Source organism: Homo sapiens, chromosome 2 (genome assembly GCF_000001405.40).
Source record: "Homo sapiens chromosome 2, GRCh38.p14 Primary Assembly".
In the NCBI taxonomy this organism is placed as follows: Eukaryota; Metazoa; Chordata; class Mammalia; order Primates; family Hominidae; genus Homo; species Homo sapiens.
Genome location: NC_000002.12, coordinates 64,744,172 through 64,770,465, shown reverse-complemented (window position 1 = coordinate 64,770,465; position 26,294 = coordinate 64,744,172). Strand labels below are relative to the sequence as shown.

Below are 26,294 nucleotides of genomic sequence, written 5' to 3'. Positions count from 1 at the left end.
TTGTGACCAAAGGCAAATAAACCCTTAATCACTCCTCTCTGCTTTGGTTTTCTCATGTGTAAAATAAGAGTATTAATATATATCTCAAAGTCCTCTTGTTGCTAAATGAGATACTGAGATTAAAGCACATAGATTAAATGAGATACTGTGTTAAAGCACATAGCAGAGTACCTAGCATAAAATAAATTTCAATACTGATACAATATGATTATTATTTTAGAGTCTTAACCCTGCTGGCTAGAACCTGACTTTTGGATGCTCAAATCTTTACAATGTTTTGAAGGGTGTGAGGCTGGCATGTGGGGCTAGGATTGCTCATGACCTATAGCTTGTTCTTGATTCCCCTTCAATCTAGGTCCTGGCTGGCAGAAAGCAGGTTTGGTAACTTAGGCAGGCAGAAGAGGTGGCAGGATGGAGGAAGGGCTCCTGATACAGAGCTGGTACCCACAAAGACAAACCTGTCAGTTACCCTGCACTTCTCTCTCCTCAGCTGGACAACTCTTCCTCATCTCTGCATGTTGTCATTGCTGCCACTGGTTGTAGGTTTTTCTGTCATGGCTGCACCACATTCATTTCTATCTGGTATCACTTGCGGAGAAACGTGATCTGTGCTATGTCCAGGCCCCGCCCAACCTGGGGGTCAGCCCTGGCAAAGAGAACTGCCTCCTAGATATTTATCATAATTGCACAACCCCCACTCCTACCTCGCCCCCTCACCCTGGGACCACTCACACACCTTCTTACCTCCAAATATTTCAGCCACAAACAGCATGCTTTTTGTTAAAATGTTAACCATTCTTTTGCCTGATTTTTTTCTCACGTCCCACATCTAGGAGCTATTTCTGATTTGCTTGGTTGATAAAGGGTTGTACTTTGTACTCTAAACCACACCCAGAGGAAACAGCAAAGTGGCCAGACATTCCGCAGATGAGGACAAATGCAAAAAAATGAGACCAAGGAGATGGCACTTCATGGGTGAATGAAAGATGCCAGTCTCTTTCACATACTATATAATCAAAATTTTACTTTAAGATAAGTGGAGGGTGGCATGCTGGCTCACACCTGTAATACCAGCACTTTTGGGAGGCCAAGTTGGGAGGCTCCCTTAAGGCCAGGTGTTGGAGACCGGCCTGAGCAACATGGTGAGATCCCATTTCTAAATAATAATAATATGATAATAATAATAAACGGATGTTGTAAAATCCCTATTTAGAGACCTAATTTGAAAATACTTCCCCCCCCACCGCCGCTTTTCCTGCATGCCTTTTTTATTGTAAGCAAGCACCCAAGCACCCTAGATATTACAGAGGTTTGTGATTTATTCAGCTAAGACGGTTTGACCCATATGTAAGTATAAAATCCCAGTATCCCCGACTCCCTGAAAGTGGAACTACAACACATTATTTCCCTCAGATAAAATGCAATGAAATTCTCTTGTCCCCTCCCTACCCCAGGAACGCTTGAGCCCTTAAGGGAACAGAACTTATGGCAGTAGGAAGAAAAAATCATGCAGATACAGTTACTTGTGACAAAAAAAAAAAAGAGGAAATGAATTGGAGAAAACAAATTATGAGAGGGATGGAAATAAAACCAGCACTTCGAAAAGGGCAGAAGAACCCAAAGAAAGCGCCAATCAAAAGGGAGAAAGAATTGCAGCACCAAAAAAAAAAAAAAAAAAAAAAAAGGTGCAAACTGGGGCAAATGTATGTGTGTAGGGAGAGAGGGAAGGAGGAAAAGAAGGAGGGAGGGAGAGAGGGAGGGATACCTGGACAGGGTCAAGCTGGAAGAACAAGCAGCGCAAGACAGGAGTCGGGGTGGGGGAATCCCAGAAAAATCTGTTTACAAAAAGACAGGCTTATGGAAATTCCAAAAGTGACTTTAGAGATTCAGATCCAAAATAGAAAAGGACCCAAATACACACATGTCTGTGTGTATTTTAACCAACTGCTGATGTTCTATCTAGACTGGAGGAAATTCTCCCCGGCCTTGAACAGACGCTGTGAGATTTTAGATTTCAAGAGACCTAAATTATCTTCCACGTAGCCTCTTACTGCGCCCCCGCGGCCCGCTTGCCCCAGGCCAAGCCCTCGGGCGCGGCTGGGACACAGCGAGAACGCGCGGTGCGCTGGGGCTGCCCCCTCGCAACTCCCTCGCATTGTCTGCCCGCCTCCCAGTGTCTCCGCTTCCCAGGCGCGCTCGGGTTATTGTTCTCCCTTCGCGGGCAGGGAGGAGGGTAGGACCGGACGGGGGAGGCAGCCGGGGGATGCGGGAGGCGGCGATCGGCTGCCACCCGAGCAGGGGCGCCTCGGTCCTTCGCACCCCGCCGTCCCTCCGCTGAAGACCGTGCGCCCCGGAGTGGGTCTAACGCAACCCTGAGCTCGGGTTCTGCAGAGGACCGGGTCCCCTGCCCCTGCCTGCAGGTCTCCAGCTCCTAGGAGGGAGAGGGGCGCGGGCCAGGGCGGGGAGCGGGAAGCCGGGCGGGCGTCCCGGTGCCGCGCAGTGGCTCCCGCGGGCTGCCTGGGCGCTTTCGGCTCGGGGGAGGGACGCTATGACGCACCCTGTCGGTATTAGAACACTTCACCTTCTATTTATAGACACTCCTCCGACCGCGGACCTAGCTGGCCCTCCCTCTCCTTGCCTTCATCGTGAACGAAAAATCCTACCTAGAATGGGAGATGCTAATACACAATGATCGGAAAGAATTCAATTTTGTGTATCCCTTTGTAATTCCAAGTATGAATTGCAGGTCTAATGATCTCTCTCTGGCCCAAGGAATTCCCCAATTTTCTAAAGCTTTAAAACCTACACTACTTTATTTTACATCCCTTCTAAATATGTCAAATTCGTCTCTTGTGAGTTCATGAAATATTCGCCAAGAATTTGCTCAAGCTGGGTAAGACGTAAGCCCATCGAATTCAGGGAAGGGATGTTTCTAGCTGGCTTTCTGTATCTGCGGAACCCTAGCAATTCTAAACGTAGCATTTATTCGGGAAGAGAGAGCATGTAAAGGAAAAATATTGCACATTTCAAACAAAAGCAAAGTTTGTCTTAGTGTTGTTGTTTTTTTTAATTGTGGCTTTTGGATACTGACTTCGTGCTTTTAGCTGTACACTAACCGTGTAATTATAGGTGATTAAAAATAGTTCTTACCTAGTCACGTTAACATTTGCAGTAATTAAAACGGGGAATTTTTTTAACGGTAATTTATTTCTTATAATTTGGTTGGTCTGCTGCAGTCAGCACTGAAGAGGAAGCCTGATTATCTTTCATCTTGGTTTCTAGTCAGTTTCACTTTCTAAACTCCACATACTCCAGAGTCGACTGCCTTTTAGATTTATTAAGAAAAAGGATTGGATATACATACATAGATATAGGTTTGTTTTTTAAAGCCTAACTAAACCATGGCTTGGTTACCATGCCAATTATTCTATAACCACAAAATTCAAGTAGAGTAGCATACAATGTACTGTTCTTGCTAACAACTAGTCTATGAAGTGGGGGTGTCTGTAAAAACAGCATTATTACATGGTTTTGCTGAGGAGAGTACTGTGCCCTACCACTGTATGAGTACTTAAACAACAACCACAATAGCAATTGTTAACAGTGCATTCATTATAAAACACCCATTTGATGGCAGGACCCTCATGAAAGACAATTTGGCAACTGCACTTACCCTTGGATCCAGTCATTTCATTTCTAGAAGTTTATGCTACAGATGCAGTACTTACATGTGAAGTCATTGGTTGTTGCAATGTGTGTACTAGCAAAAGGTTAGAAACAATATTAATGTCCCACAATCATGGTACATCTATATAATGAACTGTTATGTGGCCTTGAAGAAGATTAAAACAATCCCTTTATGTACTGATAGGGAAGTATCTCCAAGATATTGTTAAGTGAAAAAAGAAAGGTGCAGAAACAATATAAACTACTATGATTTACTTTAGAAAAATAAGTATACATGGTATATATGAACTTGTATATATATTCAAATTATATATATGAAACCTGTAACAATGTTTGCCTTCTGGGAGGTAACTGAGAGGCTAGGATGGGAGAGAAAATTATTTTCCATGATCTATCCTTTTGTATCTTGGAATTGAGTATGTATCATCTATTAAAAATTTTTTAACTAAAAATACCCTTAATTTTTTTTCTAAATTTAGGCACATATGGCAGGCAGATCTCTCTTTAATTTACAGGTGAGTTAATCTTTGGAGGGAAATCTTCAGTTTCTTCTTTTGCTTGTCTGTGGAGGCCTGAGGGTACATAGTAGACACTCAATATTTGTAGAAGTTCTGTTTTGGGATTATTATTTTAGAGAAGTTTACTGGGAAACAAACAAAGCTAATCTTTCATCCTTAGCATGCTTTTTAAAAATTTTTTATGGGTACATAGTAGGTGTATATTTTATGGAGTACATGAAATATTTTGATACAGGCAAACAATACATACTTATCACATCAGGGTAAATAGCGTATACCTCAAACACTTAACTTTCTTTTAGTTTATACTAAAAGAAACATTCCAATTATACTCTTAGTTATTTTTAAACGTGCAGTGAATTATTGTTGACTGTAATCACCCTGTTGTGCTATCAAATACCAGAGCTTATTCATTCTAACTCTAGTTTTGTACCCATTAGCCATCCCCACTTCTGCCATCCCCGACTACCTTTCCCAGCCTCTGGTAACCATCATTCTACTCTCTATCTTCATGAGTTCAATTGTTTTAATTTTTAGCTCCCACAATTGAGTAAGAACATGTGAAGTTTGTCTTTCTTTGTCTGGTTTATTTCACTTAACATGATGTCTTCCAGCCCCATCCATGTTGTTGAAAATGACAGGATCTCATTCTTTTTTATGGCTGAATACTTCTCCATTGTGTATATGTACCACATTTTCTTTATCCATTCATCTGTTAATGGACATTCACTTTGCTTCCAAATTTTGGCTATTGTGAATAGTGCTGCAATAAACATGGGAGTGCAAATATCTCACTGAGATACTGATTTCCTTTATTTTGGGTATATATCTAGTAGTGGGATTGCTGGGTCAGATGGTCGTTCTGTTTTTAGTTTTTTGAGGAACCTCCGTACTGTTCTTCCTCAGCACTCTCAACCTAGCTGGACCTAATCTATGAATCACCATAGAAATCATTTGCTCAAAGCTTGGTAGACCTGTGTTATCAGCATTTTAAAAAGCATTCTGTTGTTCATATTTTTTCCTCTATTCTTGTGGCATGTTAGGAATAGAAGTAACGGCAGAGTTAAAGGTCTACTGAGTATCCATTATAAAATAATTATGTAAAAAATTTATAACATCAATTTTACGTTACACCAGAGTGTAACTTAAAACAAAGATCTGTTTATCAGAATTCACATTTCCTACAATGGCTTTCTGTACTAGAGATCAAGTAGTTAGATTCCAAAATATTCCAGTGAGGTAATGTGTACACAGTCCTTCTGCCTGTTACAAAAGTGAAAAAGCACAGGCATTGAGATAGAAAAGGGGTTGTGCACTACAGGAGTCATGCCAGAAATAAGCCAAATGATTTGTTTTCAATTCCATTGTAGGTGTTTCTTACATAGGTTTATGTATAAGTTAGTGTTGTTACTCTTCAGTACAATAGGAAAGGGTGCAGGATTGATGGTGCCAGGGCGGTTTCCCTTCAGAGGACCCAGCACTAATGCCCTGTGATGAAGATTTTGATGAAGACAAAGAGGAAGAAGAGGAGGAGGGATATATTTGAATAAATGGAAATATTTTGAGTGTATCTGTATATGAGCTAATGTACACAGAGCACTTTACCAGAGCCTGGCAGATAAGAAGAGCTCAAAATAGATTTATTATTGGAATGAGGAGAGATTTACAATAGTCTCTTGGGTCACAAGTTGTGGTTAGGGTCATAGAGTAGGGCTGCTCACTGCCCATATTCCACTTTCTTAAGAACCACAAAATTCCTGTGCAAACTTTCCACCAAAGTAGACCACTTTCGTGATTTGTACTCTCTCTATGCACCAGCTATACTATTTATAGGGACCTTTTTGAAAGCTTTTAAAAACTTTAATTCAGGCTACCTTTGCTCTCTACTTCAGTTTAGCTTTGCTCTAAGCAATAATCATGGCTTTTAGGTGTCAGCGATATATATATTATATATTTAATATAATATATATGAATATGCAATATTCATATATTAGAATAAAACATATTCTGTATATTAGAATAAGAAACGTTTGTAAGGCTGCTGAAAGTATCTCATGTAGCACGTCTACCCAGTTGGGATACGGGAAAGGCAAGATCACAACGTACTTGTCCTTAAGGATCCTGCAGATATGCTATAACCTGAAGAGGACTTTATAACATACTTGGCAGCTACTCCTCCCCTTCCACATCCTAGATTTGGTTAGGGGTGGCTGTCCTGAAGCTGGAAAAACATGCCATGTACCTGCTGTTTGTGCTACAAGGAAGACACTTCCAGAGCAGAAAGCTTTTCCAGTCCTGGCCACACATGGTTAGGTCTGCTGTGTATCCATGTATGTCTGCGTATCTATATTCTAGTGCATTCCTGCATTGGTGCTGGTCTCAGCTCAGACATAACCTTTCAGACAAATATACTCCAGTCAGCTACTTAAGAGCAACAAGATTAAATTCTGTGGGTGGTGAAGAAGTTGGGTGTTTTCCCGGAAGAGCCTCAGTTTCTATAACCTATCTGGCAAAATCTCAGGATACAGAGACTGAGGCTGGGGAAAACCTTATCTTCTGGAATTGGCCTAAGATATATAGGCCTATATTATATCATGCACACAAAAGAGTATATTAAATGAAAGTGTACAGCTTAAGAAATAATCATAAATCGACACTCATGTGTCTACCACCCAGCTTAAGAAATAGAACATTACTAGCCCCTTGGAAGTCACTGTGAGCCCATTTCTGAGCACATTTGCCTCCCTGGCCCCACCTCAGGAGCTATCATCCTGAATTTCATCTTTCTATGTAGTTTTACTGCCTACATATATATTACTGAATAACATGGTGTTTAATTTTGTCTGCTTTTGAACTATATATAGATAGAAGCTTTGGTGACTTGCTTTTTTCACTATCTTTTTAAGCCCCATCCAGTCCTTTCCTTCCTCTTTCCACTGCAAGCCTCCATAGTGCCCCTCTTGGATTCTTGTGTTTCTCTCCTGACCAGGCTCTCTGTTGTCAGATTGTTTCCTCCAGAATTCATCGTACAAACCACCACCAAATACTCACCTTAAAAAGCAATGTTGACTTAAAAATCATTTTCTAGAAGCACATGCAGTATTATGAGAAATGATTACCATATATTGTTACATTTACACATTTTGTACGAATATATTTCAAATCACTTAGGAACCAAAATTCGAACAGTGACTCTCCCTGAACGGTAGGATTATAGATAGTTTAATTATTTTATTGGGATTTTCTATATTTTCCAAGGTTTCAATGGATTATATAAAGCCTTGGCAGCAAGGTACAGCAGCTCTTTCCTGCTTTCATTTTCCAACCTCCCAGGGGCTTCTGGGGAATGACCTGATGGGTAGATGGGAGTGTTGAAGCCAAGATCATGACTCAGATCCCCCTTTCTCAGAGATACATTCGTATCTAGAGCCCCTGGCTTTCTCTCCTACCCTCAGTCCACAGCATCATTATCTTGTCTGCAGCTGGGTAGTCTGGCTCTTCATTTATTCTTCCAAACATGGCTAGCATCACAGATCCCTTGCAGTTGTACAGGGCCTCACACTCAGAAGGGCCCAGGTTTGTTTTAATACTCTGCCGTGCTATCTTGAAAGTCTTAATTTTACTTTTGAACCTATGATTTGTAGGTGATGTCTGCTGGGACAATGGCGCACAAGCAGAGGAGATATTCATCAGCTGTACATCTGCTGTTCCTTGCTGCCCCACAAGCCCAGAATTCTGGTTGTCTTACAATGTTCGGAGGTTCAGTGACATGTGTGTTTCATCTTTGATTGGTAAGTGGGGGTGCTGACAGCCCTGAGAGGTCACATTTTCCATTCAAACCAGAACTTGTTTTGAATGCAGAAAAAAAGGCAATGGCATTCTAAAAAATGTGAATGACCAGGGAAATGGATCATATATCTTTTCTTACTTGTTATATTTCCCTGTATTAGCTAATCACATATGCTGAACATGAAGACGTAGAAGAAATGGGAAATATTGGGCAATGTATAGTTCTTTTTCCTTTCAGCCATTCCTTGCTCATCACTAAGCTGAAGATAGAGTGTTGGTAGAATGCTTACATATCAAGGAATAAAAGCAATTGAGCTGGTTGTGCAGTGTTTCCAATATTCTGGTAAGAACAAAATGCATATGCATGTACAAGCTGAAATGTGAACTGGATAATTTCAGTGATTCCACTATAAAGTAAATGCTCTTATATTTGCACTTAAAACTGGTAGTGCACAATATAAAAATGAACAATAATAGTCAAGCTAATAAATTAAATTTTCCATTTTTAAAACTTAGAATGACGTTAAATAAATGAAAAAAACCCACACCACAAGTTCGGAGACACACTACAGAAGAAAGGGAACATCTTTATATTCTAGTACTTTAACAGCCCTTTTTATTTCCAAGCTCCACAAATTATGTAGCTGTCCTGCTTCAAAATCTGTCATTCATGTTGCATTGTAACTTATGAAAACCCACGCTTCTTCTTTAAAACTATTGTCTCTGTTGTGAGTTCTTAAAGTTCATTTTGAAAACTACAAATCAAGAATCGATTCTTTTCTTTGTTTCTAAATCTCTGCTGTGCTACCTCTGTACCCCAAGAAAATGGACAGGAGTATAGGAAATGCAGGAAAGCCACATTGGTTAATACCTCAAAACACTACCCCCCTATATTAAAAACAAAAACAGAACAAAATCTAGCAGCTATAAATTCCTTGAAGGCAGGGACTTTTTTTCTTCCTCCTGGGTTTACCACAGTGTTTTCCTTTTTTCTTGTAATAAGGACCTAATAGCTATTTGTCCCTTTCCTCAACAAGTGTTTGTTCAATTAATTTTTTTGTTTTGTTTTGTTTTGTTTTGTTTTTTGAGACGGAGTCTTGCTCTATAGCCCAGGCTGGAGTGCAGTGGCACAATCCTGGCTCACTGCAACCTCCACCTCCTGGGTTCAAGCAATTCTCCTGCCTCAGCTTCCTGTAGCTGGGATTACAGGCATCTGCCACCAACCAACCCCTGCTAATTTTTCTTTTTCTTTTCTTTTTTTTCTTAAGAGACGGAGTCTCGCTCTGTTGCCCAGGCTGAAGTGCAGTGGCATGATCTCGGCTCACTGCAAGCTCCGCCTCCTGGGTTCACACCATTCTCCTGCCTCAGCCTCCCGAGTAGCTGGGACTACAGGCGCCTGCCACCACAGTCGGCTAATTTGTATATTTTTAGTAGAGACGGGGTTTCACCATGTCAGCCAGGATGGTCTCGATCTCCTGACCTCGTGATCTGCCCGCCTCGGCCTCCCAAAGTGCTGGGATTACAGTCATGAGCCACCACGCCCAGTCATTTTTTTGGTATTTTTAGTAGAGATGGGGTTTCACCATGTTGGCCAGGCTGGTTTCGAACTCCTGACCTCAAGTGATCCGCCTGCTTCGTGCTCCCAAAGTGCTAGGATTACAGGCGTGAGCCACTGTGACAGGCCTGTTCAATTAAATTTAAAACACTCTTCATTTTGCTTTTCCAGTTCTCAACCACCACCAGAGGGTCCCTATTGTCTTATCCCATAAATTGAAACTCTTAACCAGGCATCTAATGCTCTATAATCTGGACTCAGTCTACTTTTCCAAATACGTCTCCCAAGGCTCCCTGGAACTCAGTAAGTAATTACTGAGCAAAGATGGAATGACTGATCAACAGCTCCTAGGAGTTACAGAAACTGCAGCTGGATAAATCATTAGACCTTTTAGGGTCAGGTTTATGAAACAGATGCAAGCTAACATTAAGGCCCCAATATTGGGAGCTGGTGGTGAGTGTTACAGACCCTAGGCGAGAATAGTAAGAAATGCGATTCCGAGAACAGTCATCCCGGCAGGATCATATTCTGGCTTCTGCAAGATTCAGGGACCCAAAGTTTGCTGGAGAATTGCCTGCAGCTGCTGCTAGTCCACCAGGAAAGGGTATGAGCAGCTGGGCCTCACAACAGGGGCCTTCCTGTAGAGCTCCCTACCTGAGCTCAGGCAAGCTCCTACATATGAGAGTTTGAGGGCCATGAAATCCTAGCCATTACTAAGGGTCAGAATTTAGTATACTGGTAATAGCCCTTAAGAAAAGCTTCGGGCAGAGACTGGCTTTTAAAGCAGCATAATTCAAACAGGCGTTATTCTGAGCGTACCTTTGTGGGAAACGATTTTGTTTTTAACATGCCTACTGGAGGGCTCATAACCTAACAGGGCTGGGAGAAACTTCAAGAACCATCTCATCCATTCCCCTGTCTTTAGCTAGAAAACCCTTAAATTTTTTTTCAGAAAACTACCCATGTATCCCCAGCCTTTTGGTAACTCCATTTGTTCATCAATCCTGATTTCAGGGAGCTATTTCTGATATTTAACCTAATCTTCTTCGGCTCTCTTTTTTCATCTCATGCTTCTCAACTCTAAATGGCCCTCGTGCCTACTGCTTGCTTATTGACACAAAGTTGATATTATAATCACTGTTATTGTTTTATCCTTATGGTTATTATTAGAACTGACAGCACATTAAGAGGTGTACAAAGATACATAAGTAAATATATGTTTAGATCAGTAGTCTTACAACTTTGAAAAATCCAGGACTGTTTGGGTGTTTTTTTTTTAGACGGAGTCTTGCTCTGTTGCCCAGGCTGGAGTGCAGTGGCGTGATCTCAGCTCACTGCAAGCTCCGTCTCCTGGGTTCATGCCATTCTCCTGCCTCAGCCTCCCGAGTAGCTGGGACTACAGGTGCCTGCCACCACGTCCGGCTAATTTTGTTTTTGTATTTTTATTAGAGACGGGGCTTCACCGTGTTAACCAGGATGGTCTTGATCTCCTGATCTCGTGACCAGGTGATCTGCCTGCCTCAGCCTCCCAAAGTGCTGGGATTACAGGCCTGAGCCACTGCGCCCAGCCAATTTTTGTATTTTTAATGCAGACAGTGTTTCACCATGTTGGCAAGGCTGGTCTCAAACTCCTGACCTCAAGTGATCTGCCCGCCTCGGCCTCCCAAAGTGCTAGGATTACAGGCGTGAGCCACCGCACCTGATCTGTTCGTATGTTTTTAACTTGGAAATGGGGATGTGAGCAGATACGAATAGCAGAGTAGCAGGATTGTTTTCTATATCTCAGACTGTGGCCCACTCCTCAACAGCCATCACTCATCTTGCACCCAGCCTGAGAAGAAAACATATAATCGATAAATGTCTTTTAAACATGCAAAAGGGGAGCAGGAAGGTGATGGTGGATGCTATGAGGGTAGAAACCATGGGGGCCTGGGGACTGCATGAAAATCTGCCTCAACCTCATGTGAGAACTGGAAGAAAATATTTGTCAGAAGTGAATTGTAACAATACCTACCCTACCCTTCCCTCAAAGTGTCCCAGCTAAAAGCAGAAATGAAAAACAAAGAGATGTACCCTATAGGAAAGACATTCAAAGGCCTGGGGCTTACGTGATCTTGTTCTGTTTACCTTTTTTAAAAAATTCATAAAACATTTAAAAAAATGTATCCATGTTGCAAAATGTACACTTAGTGCATTACTTCCAACAGCTGCATGTTGTTCCATGGCACCCATTACCTCGTACTTACCCATTGTGCTGGTGATGTATATGCTAAGGTTGCCTTCAATATCTGGCTAGCTCAAGTGCTGCTGTGATGAACACCTCAATTGTGGTCACTTAAGGACCTGTGCAAGAGCTTCTTAGGGGTGCACATTCCCAGGAGTGGAACTGCTGGGTCATCGGGAAAAATACATTCTACCACATTCTATATTTCATTAAGTATTGTTAGTTAATGCTCCAAAATGATTGTACCAGGACTTAACTCCCAATAACAAAGCAGGAGGATTCAAATTTCTTCCTATCCTAGGCAACACTTGATATTACTAAACTTTCACGTTTGCCTATTTAATAGATGTAAATAAGTATTTTGGTGTTTTTATGTACAGTTATCTGATTATAAGTGAGGTTGGATATCTCTTCATCTACTTGTTAGTCTCTCAAGGTTCCCTTCTATAAATCTGCCTGTTCATATCCTTTGGCTATTTTTCTATTGCATTTCTTTTTTTTCTCAGTTATTTGTAGGAATTCTTAATACTGTATATTCTAGATATTAATCTTTTGTTGGCTTCAGCCTTTGAAAATACTTTCCAATCTATCAACTTTCTCTAAACTTGTTTATGATGTTTTTTGTTGAACAGAACAGTTTAAAATTTTGATGTCATCAAGTTCATCTTTTTTTGATTTTATAGTTTATGCTTTGAGTCTTGTTTAAATGCTTTTCTTCTTTTTTCTACCCTAAGATTACAAAGCTATTCTTCTATTTTTAATTTCTATTAGTTTTACCTTTTACTTTTAGGTTTTTTTTTGTTGTTGTTGTTGCTAATGTAGAGCTCACCTTTGCATATGGTATGAGATAGGGGTTTAATTTTATATTTTTCTCACAGTGAATCAATTTCCCCAACATTATCTATGAAACCAAATCTCTGTGTTAGATTGGATTATTGTTCCCAATCCTTCTTGTTCTCCTGGCTCTACAATTATACACCTGTGCCTTTTGGCATGAAGTTTTGCATTACCTTCCACTATTGATGTTCAACTTGGCCATATGACTTGTTTGGCCAATGGAATGTTGGTGAATATGATGAGAGGAGAGGTGTTAAATGTATTTGAATGATTTGGCTTGACCTCTTGCCAGAAGGAGACATGTGGTGAAGACTTGAATCTGACCTGCATCCTGGAGCCAAGTCCAGCTGAATTCAGCTGAACCCAACCAAGTCTTAAGGAGCCCAGATGAGATGAGCTGAATCTCAGTTCATATACAGACCCATAAGGGAGAAAAATAAATGACTACCATAAGCCACTGATAAGTTGGGATTATCTGTTACATAATATTATTATTGCAGCAAGCAATAGCTGACTAACTCAACATGATTTCCTCATGGATTTGTGGTGTTACCATGATCACATATCAGATTCTCTTATGTAAATGGGTTGTTTCTGAGTTCTCTATTCTGTTTCATGGTTCTGTATGTCTGCTACTATAAAAAATGACCGACTTATAAAGAAATTTAGTCTTCCATGTGCATTTTAGAATACGTTTAAATTCCCCAAATCTTGCTACAAGTTTGGTTTGCATTGAATTTATAAACACATTTAGAGATAATTGAGATCTTAATAACGTTACATCATCTTATCCATAAACATTATATATACCTCTATTTGGGTTTCCTTTGAATTCCTTCAATAAATTCAAATATGTTAATTCCTGGATACTTTATAGTTTTGTTGCTTTTATAAATAGTATCTTATTTTCTAGTTTGTTAGTGTAAGTGTGAATGAATACTTTCAGTTTCCATGAATTGATTTTCTTTTTCTTTTTTTTTTTTGGCGACCAAGTCTCACTTTGTTGCCGAGCCTGGAGTGCAGTGGCGTGATCTCGGCTCACTGCAACCTCCGCCTCTGATCCTTCAAGCAATTCTCATGCCTCAGCCTCCTGAGTTGCTGGGACTCAGGCATGCACAACCACACCAGGCTAATTTTTGTATTTTTAGTAGACACAGGGTTTTTCATCATGTTGTCCAGGCTGGCCTCTAACTCCTGACCTCAGATGATCCACCTGCCTTAGCCTCCCAAAGTGTTGCCACTGTGCAGGGCCATGAATTGATTTTCTATTTGGGAATCTTGCTATATCAGTTGGGATTAGATTTGGCTATAGGTAATGCAAACACACAAACACAAACTGAAATAAAAGTGTCATGATGAGACAGAGGTTTATTCAAGAAATTCAAGAAGTTTGGTGAGTAGATAACTCAGGGCTGGTACTGTTATATCAGGTGTCTTCTGTTTTGTTGCTCTGCCATGTGTGGCTTCCCTATCCAAGGTCAGCTTATGATCTAAAATGACTGCTAACACTGCAGCCATTATGTCTGCATTCCAGATAACAGGAAAGAGGATGAAGGCACACTTTCTCCCTTTAAGGATGTATGCACTACTTCTGCTTACAACCCGTTGCCTGGGGCATGACAATACTTAGCTGCAAGGGAGGCTGGCAAATGTTGTTTTTATTCTGGTTGGCCCTGTGCCCTGCTAAAAAACCTAGTATTATGGAAGAAGGGGAGAACAACATCTCTGTCACCTTGCTGAACGCTTATTATTTCTAATAGCTTGCTATTTCTATTGGATGTTTTACGTGGTTGATCGTATTACCGCAAACAATCCAAATTTAGTTTCCTTCCTTCTAATTCTTCTATTTCCTCCTCCTTTAAAAAATATCATTCTGTTAGCCAGAACTTTCAGCGTCATATTAAATAGTAGAGGCAACATTATCTTGATCTCAAACTTATGTGGAATGTGTTTAAAGTTAATCCATTAAGTAATGTACTTGCTGTACATTTTGGTCCTTTATGAGGTTAAGTAAATTTCCTTCTATTCCTAATCTTATAAAAGTTTTTATCATTAATAAGTTATATACTCTCTCAAATGCTTTTTCTTAGTCTTTTGAAATGGATTATATTGATAGACTTTCTGATGTTAAATCATACTTGAATTTCTGGAGTAAAGTCTACCTAATTTATTATGTTTTCATGATAGAGGACTAGATAGGTGGCTAGTCAGATAAATGCATTCTAAAGACAGGGAAATACGTTTTAAGGTTTCTCCTAGCTCACTGTAATAAGCATGTTGGATTTAGTTTGCTAGTATTTTACCTATAATTTTTGCATCTATGTTCATAAGTGAAATGGGCCTATTCTTTTCTTGATCTGTTCTTTTTTCAGATTGAGAATCTAATTTGGCTGTGTAGGTTTAAAAAAAGTTTTTCCCTCAACCTTCTTTTGCTCACAATGGCCTTTTTCTTCATTTGTTTTGTAATTTGGATTGTGAGCTCATGTTTGCCTAGGCTTTATATGTAGAAATTCTATGAGGTCTGGGTGGAATCCTTTATCCTTGATAGAGGATTTGCTTTTGCTTCCTGATCTATGTGGGTAGTATATGTTCAAATCTGTTTAAAAGGAGCTTGGCTCACGCCTGTAATCCCAACACTTTGGGAGGCCGAGGTGGGTGGATCACGAGGTCAGGAGATCGAGACCATCCTGGCTAACACAGTGAAACCCCGTCTGTACTAAAAATACAAAAAAAAATTAGCCGGGCGTGGTGGCAGGCACCTGTAGTCCCAGCTACTCGGGAGGCTGAGGCAGGAGAATGGCCTGAACCCGGGAGGCGGAGCTTGCAGTGAGCCGAGATCTCGTCACTGCACTCCAGCCTGAGCGACAGAGCGAGACTGATCAGCTACAATCATAAATATATAAATAACAATAAAAAGGAAATCTTTTATTATGACATACTGTTTGTTTTTCAGATTTTAAAAAAGACATCCAACTCATAATCACAACAGATTAGAAAGTAGAGATAAGCAAGAGGAAAACTATATAGAAATGAACCAAATTCTGCTTATCTCTGACAAACACACTTAAAGCCTCCCTACACGTTTCCTCAGGTTCCTGTTTTAATGTTGCATGTGTGTACTTTTGAGCCTCTCAAATAGATTGTAAGCCATTTGAGACACCAAAAATCTCATATAGTACTTTATCTTTTAAATAACCATCACAGCCTTAGTACATCACTATTACATCACTAGTATACTACCAGTACATCACTAGTACATCTCACTGTTTGGAAGAAAAATGACAATAATACTATAATACTATAGTTGTTGAAATTAATACATTGAAATTTGCATTTTGAAATGTTCCTACATAGAAAAAATTCTGTCTCTGTGTATTTTAAGATCATAAACTAGTAAGCTTCTCACATATTACAATTCATATACAACATCAATTACAGTGATTTTTTTTTCAGGCATATATGATCTTTATTTGACTTGCCCATACTTCTTAGTGCTGTAGTTATGAGGTATGCTCATGTTATTTATAGAAGACTATTGGCCATCTTCATCCTCTTTTTTAGGGATCACTCCTTCCCCGCAAGGCCTGTGTGCAAGCAGTGTAGAAGGGGAAGTGAGCACAAAAATGAGAGGTAGAAAATATAGGCCGGGCGCGGTGGTTCATGCCTGTAATCACAGCACTAAGGGAGGCCGAGGTGGGCAGATCACAAGGTCAGGAGTTTGAGACCAGCCTGACCAACATGGTGAGACTCCGTCTCTACTAAAAATACAAAAATTAGCTGGGCATGGTGGCGCGCGCCTGTAATCCCAGCTACTCAGTAGACTGAGGCAGGAGAATCACTTGAACCTGGGAGGCAGAGGTTGCAGTAAGCCGAGATCGTGCCACTGCACTACAGCCTGGGTGACAGAGCGAGACTCCGTCTCAAAAAAAAAAAAAAAAGGGAGAAAGGAAATAGAAATAGATACACATAAGAAAGGAAGAGGAGGAAAGGAAGAAATAAACAGGGGGTCTCAAATTTTCAAAACAAAGGAATAAACAAGGGTTCTCAAATCAAATATTTATTTTAGTATTTTAATATTTTAAAATGTTAATATTTATTCAAGTCACCTGGGATATTTGTTTAAAGAGCAGATGTCCAGGTAGAGCCTACAGAGATGATAACTCAATAGGTTTCAGCAGATCCAGGAATTTGGGTGTGTCTTCCCTTTAAGAAACACTGGACTAAGGAGAGCACAAAATTAGAAGGCACACGGTAGGGCCTGGATGCATGCCAGTAACAACTGACACAGGGGCAGCTTCTGCCACAAGATGCTAACCCTAGGTATTTGCAGATCCTCTGAAAGATACTAGTGAATGTCTACTCAACTACATACTACGCACTACATTCTAGTGTATGAAGAAGATTCAAAATCTTCTTCAGGGTTATTCATATGTAAAACAATACTCTGATCAATTATAGTCACCTGAGTCATGAAATGACCTCACAGTGGAGGAAATAAGAAAGGGGCTTCTAAAATGTATCATTAGCACATTCTTTTTTTTGTTTTTTTTGAGATGGAGTCTCCCTCTGTTGCCCAGGCTTGAGTGCGGTGGCGCGATCTTGGCTCACTGCAACCTCCACCTCCTGGGTTCAAGCGATTCTCCTACCTCAGCCTCCCCGAGTAGCTGGGACTACAGGCACGCACCACCAGGCCCAGCTAATTTTTTTCTTTTTGTATTTTTAGTAGAGACGAGGGTTCACCATGTTGGCCAGGCTGATCTCGAACTCTTGATCTCAGGTAATCCGCCCACCTCGGCCTCCCAAAGTGCTGGGATTATAGGCATGAGCCACTGGACCCAGCCAGCACATTCTTAAATGTAGTTCAATAACCCACTTTGGAAAAGAAGTGAATTTTTCCCACACAAGGGATCTAATTTGTTTCACTTACCACAGGGTGACCTGGCTAAGGGAACACTGTCCACTTTTTGCAAATCATGTCTTGGGATGAGGACACTGGCCTTCCTGCACTGTGGAATTCCAAAGGAGTTTCAGCATACTGAGAGGCAACACATACACAAGCTGTGTGCTACAAGAAGTTTGTGGCACAGCTCATTTTTGTAAGTGGACTCAGGACTACTGAAAGAAATCATGGAGTAGGGCTAAAATCAGAAAGGGAAGAGAAAAGAAGTGTCAGGCTGTATGTCTTAACAGGCCCAGGGGAAGGATCTGTATCCTAAAATGACAATAATCAAGGAAGGTCCCAATATGACCAAAGTAAACCTTTGTGTTCACTTAGTATCTCTCTTCTGAATTCCAGAGCACTGTAGGTTTCAATTTCATATATATATTTGAAATATATACATATATATACATACACACACACGTATGTAAAGATTTCGCTCACTTCAAGACTCCAAAGCTAAATTATTCCTAGGTCTCTCCAGATGACTCCTTTGTGGAAAGGGGATGTCGGGTATTCTAAGTGAATTTGAGTAGAGATACAGTGTCTAATTTGCCTTTCCTTAGTTTCTTCACAGAAGCAATTGTCTTTAAGTCTCAAATTACGTGCAGAAATGCACCTGTGGGGAAGAAGGTGGGTTCTTGCCAGTGTATTTGCTTTAGTGAACATCTCCATTCAGGTTTATTGGTGGTTACAGTTACAGTACTTTCAAGTACAAGGGTGTGTAAAGGGTTAAGGTCTGTAAAATGATTGCTGGACAGTAGCCAAGAAACTGTGAAAAGCCATAACTCCTGGGAATCAGCAGGGAGGAGAAGATCTAGTAGTGGGTGCTGCGGAGCACCGACGTCAGGGTTCAAGGTGAGCCAGTGGGAGGAAGATCCGTGCGGGAGGGAGGGTTGGAGGAAGCTGAGGTATCGACATGCATTTACAGCTTCGCTCATACCAGGTTAAGAAGTGCCTTTTCCAGAAACTCAGTAAAGCAACAGGACGTATTCAGGAGCTGTTTCGACCTGCCCACACCCTACCCTGACTTTCCCAGAAAACAGGCAAGCAAGCAAGGGGCAAATGTCACGGCCAAGCCTCCCGCCTACGGCTTCCAGCCTCCTCAGATCCCAGCACACAGCCCCGCCGGACTTCCCCCGGAGCGGTCTCCAAGAGTGGGCACTGCGTGATCTGATTCACTCCAAATCTGGCTGTCCCCCGGGAGTGGGGTTTGGCCGTAGGGGCTCCCCGGCAGCGCCAGGCAGAGTCTGAGCAGCAGCCGCCGCCTGCACGCAGAGTTAGGAGCCAGCCTCCGCCGCCGCCTCCTCCTGCCGGATCAGAGTAGGCAGCACAGCCAGTCCCCATCGCTGTCACGCAGCCAGCAGCGGGCCGCCGCCCCCCCGCGCAGCCCCGGCCCTCACACTGTTATTTGCGTGACTGACCCGAGCCGCGCGGGAGGGGAGGGCTGGCCCGGAGAGGAGCTGGTGGAGAGGAGGAGGCCGGGCCCGCCCGCTCCTTCCCCTCTGGCCGGCTGCGGAAGCCCTCTCCTCCCCATTGGCCACACGCTCGCGTCCATCACTCCCGCGAGGCGCTCGGATTGGCAGAAGGCGCACTTCTGGAGCGAGGAGGGCCGAGTGACTCCGCGGGTCTCCGGCGCCTCCTCCTTCCCTCCACCCCACACTTGAACGTCCACCCACCTCTCCCCACCCCCCACTCCACTGCCCCCGCCCCGCTCGCGGCAGTGTCCTTAGAAGACTCATTGGGCCAGGGGTGCAGCCAGCCGCTTAACGAGCCGCGCCGCCATAGGTCGAGGCCCACGCCCGTCGGAACGATGGGCCTCACCATTGGGTAGCTCCGCTCCGCTCCGCCCCCTCAGCTCCTCACCCTCTCGTCGCCGCCTCCTAGCTCACCTCTTTCTCGGCCCCCTTACCCCGCCCGTCCCCGCCGCATCACCCCTGTCCAGCTGGGCGGGGATTGCTGTACGACTCTGTAAAGTCTGTGAGTCACTGCACAACCCATCAATCCAATTAAATGTCTTGAGCGAGCCGAGCAGGCGGTGCTGCCGCCCGCCGCCGCTCGCCCCGCCGCGGCCGCCCCTGCTCCTGCTTGCAGCGCCCCTCTGATCCATGGCTGTCTGTCTGTACTTGTTACGGTGTAACATCCTCCTCCTCCTTCTCCTCCTCCTCCTCGGGAGCCGCTGCAACTTCCCCTCAGCCAGCCTCCTCCTCTGCCTGGGGACTGCAAAGGCATGGGATAGACCCAGAGCCGCTTCCCTCTGTCTCCCCTCCAGCCCTCGCTCAATTTTCCCCCCTTTAAATTAAAGTCTGTTCCTCGCTCCTCGTCGTTTTAGAGATTTATTGGTTGGTCTATTATTTCCCCTGATTTTATTTTCCCTCTCTGGGGCAGAGATCGTAGGGGCCGGTGGGTTTATTTTAGGGAGGGGGCGCTCCATCACCCCACCCCTCCGTTTCTCCTTCTCCCTTTTCGGCCGTGACTTGATTTCCCCGCTCCTCTGCGCTCCCACCCCTCGAACTCACCGTCCTGTACTCGAGTGACGCACAGACACCCCCCGCCCACAGCCCAGACGCCCCCTCCCTCGCTGCCACCCCGACCCGTCTCGGAGCTGGACTGGGTGCCGACTTCTTCGCAGAAGGGTGAGTGCTGTGCTGGGTTGGGTGAGGAGGATCTGAAAAAATGTGGTGGCCGGTCCACTGTTGGGGAGGGCAGGGATCAGGTTGTGGGCTGCAGGTTCCCGGTCCGGCGTGGATTTAAGGTGGCGACTCCCTCCTTTCCTCCCTCCCTCGCTCCCGCTTCCTCCGCCCCTCAGCTCCTTATTCACCAGCCTTGCTGTATATCTAGGTATTGCCAGACTTCCACCATCGGGGCATTATAACGCTTATAAAACATTTGGTAATGGCATGCTTTCTGTCTTTAGGATGCTTAGAGAGCAGTGATAGCCACCAATGTGATCTGATAGATTCTATCACCTGCAAAAAGTGTAAAAGGGACGATGGGTACGTTTTCTTCTAATTCAAAGTTAAACTTTTATTCAATAAAGGCAAGGCAGAAAGGTATTTTTAATTTTAATGCGTGGCGATAGGGCAGCGATAAAGCAGAGAAAGACAGATTGTCTAGTGGCATTGCTTAGTGTTTTTATTTGAAAATAGTTTTATGGGTTCCCTATTGAAAAAATATCAAGTCCGTATCAAAGGTTATGAAGTCTTTGAACCTGTTGGGGGAAAGCAAGGTAAGATGGAAATCCAGCTTGACACTTCATCTTTAGCTCACCTCTGTTACAGGGAGGCATTACAACACAGAGTTTTAAATTTCTCAGTCACTGGACACAATGGAGCATGTTAAGGATATGAGAGAAATATGGATTATTTCTCTTTTGATATCCATCTTTTGTGTACTTCATTGCTTGTTCAGCAATGTCATACTACAGAATTTTGTAAAATTTTGATTTGGTTTCTTGGTTGTCCATAGCTCAGAAGTACAAATACCTGTCTATATATGCTTTATGAGGATGTTGCCATATGCATCTTTCATATTTTGTTTGAAATAAAAGTAAAAATTATGAGAAATAGTTGCTCAGAGTTGGCTTCTGAGGTTGCTTTTTAGAATTCAGCTGTTTTAAAATGGTATTACTCTTTTTGAGTCAAGTTCTGGGCTAGTTGTCCACAAGATTCAAATGAGGCCAAACCAAACATGTTTTGAAACATTAAAGTACAGGAAAGGCCTCTTAATAGTTCATTCTCTCCTTCTCTTTCAGAGTAACCAGAATAAGTTGTTACTAAATTTAATTTTAAAGAATAGACTGTTCCTGTACCGAAATCTGCCAAGTTGCTACAGAAATATTTCTTTTTAAAGAGCAGAAATGTGTTTATGATCAGCCCAAAGTAGTAAAGATGAAAAGTGACTTAAATGTAAATGCTGTCTTAAAGAAATGCTTGTCATAAGCCCCAAAACCTTCCAGAGTGTTTCAGGAAGACTTACACAAAACCTTTTTGAATTGTTTAGTAAATTTTATCATGTGACCTTTTTTATGAGTGTAAGACTGAATTATTGAAAGACCTCATAGCACAAGGGAGCCATGCTGCCAGAGTTTGAATCTTACCACCATCCCTCACTGGCTGTGTGACCTTGGGGGACGTTTCTAACCTGGCTTTTGTGGGTTTTGTCCTGTAGATGGAAAGAATGACTTCTCAAGGGGTTGTTGTAAGGTTGCATGAGAGTACATGTCACAGAGCACTCCAGGTTAGCTACCCCATCATCACCAGCAGTCTTAGAGAGGTGTCTAGTGTAGTGGTTAAGAGTAGGACCTCACGCTGGTTCATGCCTGTAATCCTAGCACTTTGGGAGGCTGAGGTGGGAGGATGGCTTGAGCTCAGGAATTTGAGACCAACCTGGTCAAGATGGTGAGATCCGGTCTCTACAAAATAATTAAAAAAAAAAAAAAAAAAAAGTGGGGCTTCCAGAACCAGATTCCGTAAGTTTAAACCCCAGCTTTTCCTCATTATCTTTGTGACCTTGGCCAAGTTAGCCTCAGTTTCCTCATCTGTAAAATGGAAATAATAGCACCTACTTCATAGGGTTATTGTGATCGCACAGAATGAGTTAATATATGCAAAGATCTTGAGTAGTCTTTGGTGCATCTTTGCAAGTTTAACTCTTATGTGCTTTGCATATCTTGAAATATGAATATGTTTTTTAGACAATTTTTTGTAAAGATAAATTTATTGTTATCAATAAAATAATCAAAATTTTTATCAATATGCCTAATGTTTTATGAGATTTATACTTTTAATCTAGAGTTTGTATGACTCTTTAAGAAATAGAGCTACTGGACCAGGCACAGTGGCTCATGCCTGTAATCCCAGCACTTAGGGAGGCTGAGGTGGACTTTGAGCCCAGGACTTTGAGACCAGCCTGGGCAACACAGCAAAACCCCGTCTCTACAAAAAATACAAAAATCAGCTGAATGTGGTGGCACATGATTGTAGTCCCAGCTACTGAGCCCTGGAGGTGGAGGCTGCAGTGAGCTGTGATTACGCCACTGCATGCACTCCAGCTTGGGCAACAGAGACCCTGTTTTTTTTTCTTTTTCTTTTTCTTTTTTTCTTTTTTTTTTTTTTTTGGAGACAGAGTCTCTTTCTGTCGCCCAGGCTGGAGTGCAGTGGTGCAGACTTGGCTCATTGCAACCTCTGCCTTCCAGATTCAAGCAATTCTTCTGCCTCAGCCTCCTGAGTAGCTGGGATTACAGGTGTGCGGCACCACGCCCGGCTAATTTTTGTATTTTTAGTAGAGACACAGTTTCACCATGTTGGCCAGGCTGGTCTTGAACTCCTGACCTCAAGTGATCCACCCCTCTTGGCCTCCCAAAGTGCTGGGATTACAGGCATGAGCCACTGTGCTTGGTAAGACCCTGTTTCAAAAAAAAAAAAAAGAAATTTAGCTATTGAATGAATTGAGTTGATCCCCTTTCATTTAAACTTGCATAATAGAATGTACATACCTCTATTAAAGTGTAATACATATCACACATTTGCTGTTATCTGTGGTTTTCCCTCCTGTTAAACAAAGCTCTTTGAGGGTAAGAATAGTATTTCATTTATAATTTAATCTCCAGTGCCCAGTACCTTTTATTTAAAGAAGCTTAATTAATGCATGTGAAATTAATTAAATAATGCTACTCTCATGTTTATAGTAGTTGAGTGACATTATAAGTGATACTTATACAAATATAAGTAATACTATTATTTGTATTATTGAATTGAATTTTCACTTTCTCAATTTTTGCAAATAGAGAATAAATGAGAGGAATTACAGTATAATTTACTCTTCATTATGGAACTATTTTTTATTTTCAAGGTTAAACAGAAAATAGTCTGAAAAGTATGCCTGTCATATCCTTCTTTGATACCTGACATGTCCAGTTTTTAATCATAAAATCTGACTCCCACACTTTCTGTCATTAAGTTGGATGTTGTTAATAATTAATATGAATTATATGAATTAGATTTGGAATGTCCCAAAAATGATGATATGATGTTATTATCTGTTACAGATTAATAATAATAATGTATCAGCCTAATCCTGTGAAATTTAAAATGGCATCATTTCCTTAGGGACCACATCCTTATTCTCTTTCCATTCAAGAGTGAAACTTTCTCTTGAGCAGTCTTAATAAATAATTAGCTATTGAAATAGCTGCACTAAATAGTGTGGCAGGAATCATAAAGGAAGCATATGTAATTAGTAAATAAAACACACTCTAAACTTTACCATACGCTTAATATGGTTACTCAATTGGGGAATATATTTTTCAAAATAAGCAAAGTTCATGGGGCCTACCGCCTGCCTCATTTATAGAATCATTCTATTTTACTTGTCAATAAAATCCAGTCTAATTACTGAGCCCTCTGAAGTTATAAAAAGCCAGAATTATCTTTCATTAGAGATCCTTGGTAATAAAATCTGAATACTAATCTACTCAGAATTGTTACAGTGTTCCATCACATTGTTAAAACTTTTCAAACACATATATGAAATATCTATTACAATGTGGGCAATTTTGTGTATATAAATCTTCGTTTAACCAAATCATCAGTTACCCAGTTCAGTTGAATATATTACATTTTCATTGGCTAAAATAATTAATTTAGAAAACTTGCCCTTTTTTGTTTTGATACATTTAAAGCAGCTAATCTACAGTGAAACTTTAAAAAATAATAATTTATAAGCACTTAGAACCTATGCTTAAGTGTTTGGTTGCAAGATCGAAAGTCTATTTTTCACTTGACACATTTTAGCGTGCCATTTATTCTATAGGTCACACCTCTTTCTTTCTTTCAGCTTTTTTTTTTGTGAGGACATTTGGGTATTTATTAGTGTTTTACAGACATATACAATTTCCGCAGGTTTTTTTTTTAAACAATGTTTGTTGTGTACAATTATTTGGAAAGAAGAGCAAGGAAGGGTAGAAATAACCTTTGAGGCTTGCGATTTCTATCCTTGTCTTCTAACATTAGGAACATGGATAACTATCTATACACTTTGTCAGTAATCAAAAGGAGAAGAAAATAACGTATGCATTATCTTATGGCATAAACTCAGAATTAAGGTCCATGAAGTTCTATACTGAGTGATGCTACTGATTGGCATGTGACCTTGAGCATTACACTTAACCTTTACCACTCTCCATGAGTGAAGGCAGTTACCCTCTGCTCACTCACAGAGGAAGTTGTAGGGGTCAGTTGTAAGTGCTTTTTAAAAGCATTTGAGAAGGACACAATGCAAGCAAATACAAAGTAAACATTAGCATTTATAAATGAATATTTGTTCATCATTATTTAAAAATTGTGACCTTTCAGATTTTTTACCTAATGGGCATTTTTCCTTTTAATTTTATATGTGAAGAGACTTCTTACTAGTATGTTCACAAAAATATATATATGGTACCTTTTAAAGAAGCAATGAACTTTGGTTTAGCTGAATGGGGTTTTAAATGTTGTAACACTGAGATTTTGGTACATCCTGGGTTATAACAGATGTTGATATTTTTGAGAACAAACTTCAGGTATCTTGAGAGTTAATACATTTTATTAAGTTAAAGTTTATAAAACTTATATTTGCATTGCAGGAAAACATGTTCAGACTTAGATTCCATTAGCAGTGTATTTAAATAGAAAAATTAATCATATTATTTACTTTTAAATTTCGAAAGGATTACTTGGCTGTAGGACCCATCTTGTTTTATTTTATATTTTTATTTTTTTGAGAAGAATGGAATCCCTGGAAAGGACCCTTCTTTATACTAACTTTTTTTTTTTTTTACCTTGAATGCAGTGAAATATGCATTATTTCAAAATATAGTGGCTTGGAGGATTTAATTTATTTCAGCTAATTTTGTATTTAGGAAAGCTAGGGAAGGCCTGTGTGGAAAGGCTGCGTTTTAAGAAACTGTGTCCCTAACAATGAGTTAGGAATTATTAAAATTTAAAAGTCAATGTATATAATTAGCATTATATACATTCCTTTGAATTCAGTTTTATGTCTCTGTGATTATTAGCAGAATTGTCACAACCTCATGATGTTACTCACTTTTTTAAGCGAAAATGAAATTCTAGTTTACTCAGAATAACAACTATTAAAACAAATAAGGCATGTAAAGAAATATTTCTTCTAACTGACTTTAAGAAGAGTGAATAGTGATCCTCAAATGTGAGGTTTCTAAGCAGAAAGCAACTTTAAAAAACATATTGTCCTTACTGTTCAGTAGCCAACCCACTGAAACTTAGAATGATCAGTTTTCTTTTTGAATTTAAAGTTCACATTGATGTTTATAATGTGTCGTGTGTTGGTATGTATAACTCTTTGGTATTGAATATTGACCTTTAACATATTAAATAAAATGATCAAACTAGTCTACCTTTTATTTAAATTTCATCTGTTTTTCACACCCTTCTTTTTATTCTTACATTGTATTTCAGTTTTCTTAATATTTCCACGTTTGTCTTTTCTTTTTATGCAGCATCTTCATTTTACTCTATCCTGTCTGCCTCCCAAGAATCATAGGAATTCTTTTTCCTTGATCATAGCAGGTTTTTTTTTTTGTTAGCTCCCTTTGCATTTGCCTCTATATAAGGTATGGAGTAGGAGTTTTTATTTAAACCTAAGACCAAGTTATAGCTTGTGTGAGGTGGTAACAAGGGAAAACTGTAACATATTTATTATTTACTGATTTTCTATTAATCTATTTTA

General features: G+C 40.9%; 1 long non-coding RNA gene across 1 annotated transcript, besides 5 other annotated features; it reads left to right on the top strand.

The window, feature by feature from the left end:
- Nucleotides 1,984-2,829: an enhancer, noted in NCBI's record as "H3K27ac hESC enhancer chr2:64994771-64995616 (GRCh37/hg19 assembly coordinates)". NCBI's record gives its function as "activates a minimal SCP1, AML or CMV promoter by ChIP-STARR-seq in primed H9 embryonic stem cells {active_cell/tissue: H9 hESC(primed)}" and the evidence as "EXISTENCE:reporter gene assay evidence [ECO:0000049][PMID:30033119]".
- Nucleotides 2,086-2,585: a silencer, noted in NCBI's record as "silent region_11567". NCBI's record gives its function as "represses an Ori minimal core promoter by ATAC-STARR-seq in GM12878 lymphoblastoid cells {active_cell/tissue: GM12878}" and the evidence as "EXISTENCE:reporter gene assay evidence [ECO:0000049][PMID:35858748]".
- On the top strand, nucleotides 2,269-13,477 carry LOC105374777 (uncharacterized). The gene is made up of 6 exons (XR_940177.3): nucleotides 2,269-2,420; nucleotides 2,595-2,893; nucleotides 4,167-4,202; nucleotides 7,850-7,996; nucleotides 8,233-8,337; nucleotides 12,652-13,477. It is a non-coding gene; the product is annotated as an uncharacterized LOC105374777 (long non-coding RNA).
- Nucleotides 18,744-19,743: a silencer, noted in NCBI's record as "silent region_11566". NCBI's record gives its function as "represses an Ori minimal core promoter by ATAC-STARR-seq in GM12878 lymphoblastoid cells {active_cell/tissue: GM12878}" and the evidence as "EXISTENCE:reporter gene assay evidence [ECO:0000049][PMID:35858748]".
- Nucleotides 20,075-20,144: a silencer, noted in NCBI's record as "silent region_11565". NCBI's record gives its function as "represses an Ori minimal core promoter by ATAC-STARR-seq in GM12878 lymphoblastoid cells {active_cell/tissue: GM12878}" and the evidence as "EXISTENCE:reporter gene assay evidence [ECO:0000049][PMID:35858748]".
- Nucleotides 24,686-24,765: a silencer, noted in NCBI's record as "silent region_11564". NCBI's record gives its function as "represses an Ori minimal core promoter by ATAC-STARR-seq in GM12878 lymphoblastoid cells {active_cell/tissue: GM12878}" and the evidence as "EXISTENCE:reporter gene assay evidence [ECO:0000049][PMID:35858748]".